The sequence below is a fragment of the Homo sapiens genome, chromosome 6 (assembly GCF_000001405.40).
Source record: "Homo sapiens chromosome 6, GRCh38.p14 Primary Assembly".
In the NCBI taxonomy this organism is placed as follows: domain Eukaryota; kingdom Metazoa; phylum Chordata; class Mammalia; order Primates; family Hominidae; genus Homo; species Homo sapiens.
This window is the reverse complement of record NC_000006.12, coordinates 15981028-15989636: the sequence shown is the minus strand read 5'-3', so window position 1 is coordinate 15989636 and position 8609 is coordinate 15981028. Positions and strand designations below refer to the sequence as shown.

At 41.5% G+C, this 8609-nt stretch overlaps 1 annotated feature.

The window, feature by feature from the left end:
* Positions 1765-2059: a silencer, noted in NCBI's record as "tiled region #12955; HepG2 Repressive non-DNase unmatched - State 21:Repr". NCBI's record gives its function as "represses a minimal TATA promoter and a strong SV40 promoter by Sharpr-MPRA in HepG2 cells {active_cell/tissue: HepG2}" and the evidence as "EXISTENCE:reporter gene assay evidence [ECO:0000049][PMID:27701403]".

Sequence of the window (8609 nt, the reverse complement as noted above, 5' to 3'; positions counted from 1 at the left end):
TCACAGTGGAGCAGGAGACATTAGGTGTTCTTAGTTCCACTCAGAGCCCCAAGGGAAATTCAGAGCACAAAATCCCCAACCAGTCTGGGGCTTCCCTGACACCTTTCCTTCCAGACTGAGACTGAGGCAGCAGAATACAGATCCCCATCACTGTGTTTCTCTGTTGTTCTCTTCCCTGACTCTTCTTCCTGTCCCCAGATAGACTCAAAACTTATGGGCTGAGACAAATTGGCTCTTACATCCTTATAATCAAGGATTTTCCCCAAATCTGTCACTTATGGCAGAAATATTTGCTTTTAATACCCAAGAGCCAGGCCTTCAGACACAAAATCCCTTTCTGACAACTCATTATATCTTCTGGGAGTTTGAAAGTTTCTTTTGAACCTCAGAAGTGAAAAAGTGATATTCTGAATCTAAATTGTTCTGTTATGGCCTTCCTTCATTGAAGCAATAAGTCCAGGCTCCCTGAAAATATGACCCTCTATAATCCTGGAAAGAGACAAGTGAGGTTTTCCCATAAATAACTCAGCAGAAAACGCTATGCCTGAATCCAACCTCTCATGCACCTGAGGCTCTGTGGCTGCTGAGGCCCCCAGGTGCTGGCTCCAGCTTTCTCAGCCTCCCTCCACCCCATAGCTTGCACCCAAGCTTGGACTTTTAGCAGTCATTGTGTCCACAAGGGTGGAGATGACATCTCTCTGCTTCATATTATGTCCAGTTATTCCCCAGCCTGACCATGCTTCTCTTCAAAATGCTGAGCTCAGGAGCCCACATCCTCCAGGGAACATGTCCCCCCACAAGGTCCAGCCAGCACCAAGCCAGGCCATAGAGGCCTCCATATCCCTCTGCCTGATAACTTCATTATATAACTTCTTCTACACCAAGGGGTAACACCTCCACAAATATTGCAACCTTAGGATCATTGGCCCATAATTACAACAAGACCATTTCAACCAATGGGCTTATGGACTAGAGCTGGGAGCCAAAATTGAGCTATAGTTTGAACCAAGAGGCATCAAGGGGTTAGTTCAGGTCTTCAAGGGTACTAGGACTGTGGGCTACCTAAGTATCTATGTATCTATGACCCCTTCCATCCTTCCATCCTTACAATAGAACCCCTGCTTTTTAAAGAACCACAAGACTATCAGGAATAAAAACTGTATTTCTCTACCTCTTCCGAAACCATGTATAACAAAGTAATTTAAGTACTCGTCAATGAGCTGTATGGCAACTTCAGTAAAACCTCTTTAAAAGAGAGCATACACACATTGCTCCTTCTTCATCATCCCTCCCTTCTCTCTACCTGAAATGAGGCTGTGATGGCTTTGGGACCATGAGGAAGAGAGTGGAGTCGTTTCCTGGAAGGATTCTTGTTTTTTTAAAGGCTTTGTTGAAAGCCATAGGTGCACTGGGCTGCCTTCCTCTCGACTTTCTGTGTGAAGGAATACAACCTTGTAGGTTTCAGCCACTGTTCATTTAGCTCGTCTGTCTTATGCAGCCAAATCAATTTCTCATATATGTAAATTATAACTAGGTCCAACTCTGCAAGTGTTTGGGGTCAGGGTAGTTGAGGAGACTATCAGAGAGCAAGTTGAAGTTGTCACTTGTTAAGTAGCGATATTCATGAATGACTCTTGAACTCAGCAACAGCTTAAACAATCAGGCTGGGTGCAGAAAGGTTTTGATTCTGCAGCTCTGGAATGCGTGTTTGATGGTGGCTTCTCCCTTTATTCTACCTTCTAGCAGTGAGAGGAATGGCTGTGATATAAAGGGTCTGTCTGTTGTGCTTCAAGATGTCAAGTGCCCTTTTCCTGTGACTTGTGGGGATTTGCTGTGGTTGCCATAGAGACAAAGTGAATCCAAGTTCAGCCGCGATAGCGAGGCCCTTTTATTCAAAGGCACATATTTTGAAGAGCAAACCAGTATGTAAGATAGTAAGGTGACTCATCCTCCATCAGCACAGCGAAGCCTTCCTTCAGGATCTTAATGGATGTTATCCCAAGAAGCCCATAATTGTGAGTGAATTATGAAACGATTAATTAAATACATTTTCCCTACCTGCCCAGCACCCGCCCTCCAGGAATTCTCTTCCAGAATTTTGAGGAGGAAAATTAAGTCATCAACTCACCAAATAAATAAATAAATAAATAAATATTTTACCAACTAAATATTTTCTAGGCTTTTTTCTCTCTTTCATGCACTTGCTAGTTGTTCTCTGAACCAGCAGCTTGTGATGAAGATTGTGCTGGACTTGGAGTTAGGAGATTCTGCCCTTAATTAACTGGATGGTTTTGGGTGGGACTGCCCTGGGTCCCAGTTTCTTGATCTGCAACATGAAGGGTAATGTGAGATGACCTCTAAGATTCCTTCCAAACCCAAGAACCCATCCTGATTTTTGTTTTAGTTCTCCTCTCAACCACAGCAGCTATCTTAATCAGGTCTCGTGGGCTCTACCTTCCCCAGCTAGAATGCATGCTGGTGTAACAGGTACTCAATATATGTTTATATAACAAATAGAATGAATGAATGAATGAATATGATTTTAAGACTGGTTTACCTAAACATTATAGTTTTGTTATTTTTTCACCTTAATCAGTCAGACTTAGAAATAAAGTGTCACACACCCAGATCAGTATCTATTGGAAGTGAGTTTGGAACCCAGACCCAAGGGCTACCTCTTGCTTCCTGCCGTGTCCCCGCCCATTCCTTGTTGTACTTCAATTGCAGACATCTTTGACAGTCTCAGGAACCCAGAGGTGCCTCTGTGTCTCTGCTTCTTCCGGAGACAAAATTACATTAATGAAAAAAATAATTCCAGTTCTGGTCCCCAATAACAGCCACACTGAGCTCAAATATTTAACAATCTCCTGCAGGCATTTTTCAAAGCTCATTTCTTCATGGAATCATTTTTCTTTGACAAAAATAAAAAGAAAACAAAGTAATTTAAATTCCTTCACCGCAGTTTCTAGAGAATTCTGGAGAAGAAGGGAAACCATACTGAAAAGGAAAAGGAAGCAGACAGTGGTTTAAATTCTGGGTCCTAGGCAAATGTTTGTGGGGCCCACTGCACAGCACACCCCTTGGAAATGCCCGTCCATGCCCTCTCTGGGACCTCTCTGTTTCTACTGCCCTCAAGTCTAGGAGAACCTAAAGAGCTAGATACGCCACAAAGAAAAGTGTGCTTCCTGCCTGAGCCCCTCTCCTTCCCGAAGTCTAGGTCACCTGACATGGTCACCTCTTGTTCCTGGAATTGGTAGGTCCTTCTACAACAAGGTTGGATGAGACTAATTTTCCACAGGCCAGGTACTAGACTATGTACTATTTCATTTCAGCTTTATAGTACCTAGCATGGAAGGTGTTACTGTGCTCCTTTACAGAGGAGGAAACAGGCCCAGAGAGGTCTAGTTGCTTTCTTAAGCTCACCTCTCAGGGAGGTGAGTGGCCAGTTTAACCCAAGTCTGCCTGTCTCTGGAGCCTGCAATCTTTACCATCCTGCTTCTCAGGCGATCCCCAGAGCTGGCTGTGAGCCTGTCGTTGGGCACCCAGGCTTAGCTCTCATTCTCCATTTTTATCAATCTTTCCAGAATTTGCTGGGTGCCACAGGGGTTGGGTGGTGGTAATAAGTTTTTGGAGAAAAGTTTGACTCAGAAATCTCCCTGATTTCTGATGGTTGTCTAAAGATCTAGTTAGCATGGTCATTTTCTTCTTCTTTTATGCTTCATTATTTTTTTAAGGTATAGTACATTTTTGTGGTTCAAAATCAAAACTATATAAAAAAGTTTTCTCAGAGATGTCTCACTTTTGTTCCTATTACCTCAGCCCCACATCTCCCACATCTGTTATAGGTGACTACAGTTTCTGGTTTATTCTTCCAGTGTTTCTTTCTACAAAAGAACCACAACATATACATAGAAACATATTCATATATGCATGCATAAGTAATATATTTATATGTGCATATTTACATGCTTATTTTCTCTGCTTTCATATGCAAATACAGCACACCGTATCACTGTTTCCCACCTTTTTCCACTTAGCGGTGTATCCTGGAGAACACTCTGTTTACCCAACTCTTCCTCATTCTTTTCATGTGGCTGAGGACTCCATTGTGTACTAGTGCCTTAGTATTTGCTTATGCCTCACTGATAGGCATTTGTATTTCCAATCCTTTGCTATTTCAAATAATTCTGCAATTAATGGAGTCGAGCAAACTTGTTTTGTACTGGCAGAGATGTATTTTAGGGGGCTTCCTAGAAGCTGCATCAAAGGATAAATATGTATGTAATTCTGGTAATTGTTGCTAAATTCCCCTCCACAGAGGTTGCAGCATTTTGCTCTCCCACCTGCAATGCGTGAAGTGCCAGAGGCTCCAAGTCCAGCCAGCAGAACGCATTGTTCAACTCTTGGAGTATTCACCAATCTGTAGGTGAATAATATCTCAGTATATTTTAGTCTGAATCTCTCTTGTAAGCCTGGTTGATTATTTTTTTCATGTTTAAAAGCCATTTCCTTTTTTATCCTGTGAATTCTCTATTCATGCATTTTGCCCGTATTTTTTAATTAGTTTTGTTGTTCTTCTTGATTTTTTTAGAGTGCTTCAACCATTAGGGAGCTTAGTCCTTACTGATATAAGTTCAAAAATTTCTCCCAGTCTTTCATTTCTCTTTTGACTCTGCTTGTGGTCTATTTTGTCACAAAAAAAGGTTTTATTTATACTTGGACAGGTATATTGATTTATTTATTTATTTCTTCTGAATACTGAGTCACAGAAAGGCTTTCCAACTGCTAGGTTGGAAATTCACCCAAGTTTTCTTGGAAAAATGAACAAGTTCAATTGTACATCAAGACTGCTAATCCATTTGGGGTTTTTCTTGGTATTATGTGAAGTTTGGATACAATTTTATATTTTTCCAAATGACTTTTTAGTTGTCCCAATACATTTTGTTAAGAAGTCTAACTTTCCCCAGTTATTTGAGATATCATCTTTATTGTGCAAAGGTGTTCTTGTGTCACTTTGTGGACTTTTAATTTTGTTCTATTTGTCTTCCTATTCATTCTTATGACATTCTTAATGTAAGGTCAATAATTATTATTAATGTAAGGTCAATAGCACCAGTCTTCATCCACATAGATAATCCAATATCCACATAGATATTGGATATCCAATATCTATGTGGATCCAATATCCACATACTGGATCCAATATCTATGTGGATCCAATATCCACATATTGGATCCACGTATTGGATCCACATATTGGATCCACGTATTGGATCCACGTATTGGATCCAATATCCACATAGATACTGGATTATCCAATATCCACATAGATACTGGATAATCCAATATCCACATAGATACTGGATAATCCAATATCCACATAGATACTGGATTATCCAATATCCACATAGATACTGGATTATCCAATATCCACATAGATACTGGATTATCCAATATCCACATAGATACTGGATTATCCAATATCCACATAGATACTGGATAATCCAATATCCACATAGATACTGGATTATCCAATATCCACATAGATACTGGATTATCCAATATCCACATAGATACTGGATTATCCAATATCCACATAGATACTGGATTATCCAATATCCACATAGATACTGGATTATCCAATATCCACATAGATACTGGATTATCCAATATCCACATAGATACTGGATTATCCAATATCCACATAGATACTGGATTATCCAATATCCACATAGATACTGGATTATCCAATATCCACATAGATACTGGATTATCCAATATCCACATAGATATTGGATTATCCAATATCCACATAGATAATCCAATATCTATCCAATATCTATCTTCATCCACATAGATAATCCAATAACTATCTATGTTTGTGGATGAAGCACCAGGCATAGCATTTTCTGCTGAGTAAAAAATTAGTAAACTAATTTTTCTTATTTTGTTGCCTTTCTGCATACACTCTGCTTTATTTTTATTGAAGTTAGAGTTCATGTATTTGACAAGCAATAAGGACCTATCATGCTCCAAATACCATGGCAGGCAAAGCAGAGATGCTTGAGGAGCTCAGTGCCCAGGGGCTGAGACATACAGGTTGTCTTTCACAGGCTCATTTCTGCATAGCAATTATGGGACCTTCCCACAAAGACCCTCTAATATTTCTAAAAACTATTATTGTATGCCTTAAGTGAGTTCATGTTTTTTATCCACTAGAAATTTTTGACCAGGACGCATATCTGCAGATGTTCAGGATAATTTTCTTACTAAGCTCTTTTGATGAACACCCTGATAATAAGGCATCGTTCTGTCAGGACTGATTTTGCTTCTTTCCCTTTGGATTCAAGTTGACCCAGCTTCAGAAAATGTCATCTAGTATTGTGGCAGAAGTCTGTTACTCTTACTCCAAGTGAAAGTGAAATTTTTTCAAATATTCTCCTTCTTATGAATTGAATTGTGTACTCTTTCCAGCTTCTTCCCAATTTCCTGGGCCAGATCTTATGAGGCTTCAAGTGATATGGGATTGGAGTCTGCCTAAAGTCTCCATCTTGCTCTGTGGCCACAGAGTCCTACTAGTGACACTCTTGAGTATCCTCCAAACAAGCGCTCCTAGCTTCTTGAAAGTTGCTTCTCTCCTCTTCTCTCCCTTCTCCCTTCCTCTCTTTCTCCCAGCTTTTATGCTTCATTCATTGACTCATGACCCCAAAGTTTCACAGAAATTTGTGAGGAAATCATTCATAGTTTCACTTGAAAAACACTCTTCAAGAGGTCAAACAGAAGTTCATAGGGGCAAGAGGGGGCATCCAGAAGACCAGTCTCTAAGGTAGATGCTAACTGGTCTTCAAAATCTCACTGCCCTCTCCTCCCCAGCCAAAACCCTCCTCCTCAGGTCCTGTAATCATCCTATTTATTCCTGTGATGGGTTGACTAGCATCCCCCTGTATTAGTCCATTTTGAGTTGCTATAAAGAAACACCTGAGGCTGGGTAACTTATAAAGAAAAGGTATTATTTGGCTAACGGTTCTGCAGACTGTACAGGAAGCATGGTGCCTCATTTGCTTCTGGTGAGGCCTCAGGAAGCTTACACTTGTGGCACAAGGTAAAGGAGAAGCAGGCATGTCACATGATGAAAGAGGGAGCGAGAGAGAGGAGCTGTGCTCCTTTAAACATCCCACTCTCACATGAACTAACAGAGTGAGAACTCACGCATTGCTGCAAGAACGGCACCAAATCATTCATGAGGGATCTACCTTCATCACCCAAATGCCTCCCACTGGGCTGACCTTCAACAATGCAGATCACATGTTAACATGAGATTTGGAGGTGACAAATACTCAAACTATATCACCCTACAAAAGATGCGTTGAAGTCCTAATGCTCTGTACCTCAGAACGTGACCTCATTTGGAAGCAGGGTCATTGCAGACGTAACTAGCTGGGTCCATCCTGGAGCAGGGTAGACTCCTAATCCAATGGGACTGGTGTTATTGTAAGAAGTGGAGAGAGACTGGCTGGGCGCGGTGGTTCACGCCTGTAATCCTAGCACTTTGGGAGGCCGAGGCAGGTGGATCGACTGAGCTCAGGAGTTCAAGACCAGCCTGGGCAACATGGCAAAACCCCGTCTCTCCAAAAAAAAAAAAAATTAGCCAGGCATGGTGGTTCATGTCTGTAATCCCAGCTACTCAGGAGGCTGAGACATGAGAATCGCTTGAACCCAGGAGGCGGAGGTTGCAGTGAGCCAAGATTACACCACTGTACTCCAGCCTGGGTGATAGAGCAAGACTCTGTCTCAAAAAAAAAAAAAAAAAAAAGAAGAAGTGGAGAGAGACACACAGGGAGAGGACAGCCATGGGTCCACAAAGGCAGCAATTGGAGTGCTGTAGATGCAAAGACAAGGAATGCCAAGGTCTGCCAGTAAGACACCAGAGCCAGAGGACACAAGGAAGGATTCTCCCCTGCCGGTGACAGAGGGAGTGTGGCCCTGCCAACACCCTGATTTCAGACATCTAGACTCCAGACTGTGAGAGAATAAATGTCTGTTGTTTTAAGCCACCCAGTTTGTGGTACTTTGCTATGACCACCCCAGAAAACTAATACAATCCTGACCCAGAGTTTTATTTCATAAGGATTTAGATCTACAGAATTCCTGCCCCAAGGTGCTGACACAAGGGAAGACATATGTAGAAGTGATATCTTCTCCCTTTTGATGAGACACTATTTTTATTTTTTCAGACTCAGGATTAGCTCATATGGAATAAGTTGCTTTTACTGGGCCTATTTTCCTGTGGTGAAGTGGGGTGGACAGAAAGAGTCTTCGGTATTGCTAATAGATAACGGTGCTGGCAGACGTAAGCCCTCTTCTCCAGCCAAATCATTCTACCCATTGCCTGTTTCTCTATCTGGAATTAACCTCACCTCTCCTCTCTTACTTGAAGTTCCATCTATCCTGGAGCCTCAGTTCAAGCTCTTCTTCCTCCCCAAAGCCTTTCCTAACTGGACAAGAGCACAGTGACCACTCCCACATCTGCATTCGAGAATACTCTTTTCTGTGATTCTCACTGACATGTGCAGTATGACTTCCTTGTTATCTTCCCAAATATGTCTCTC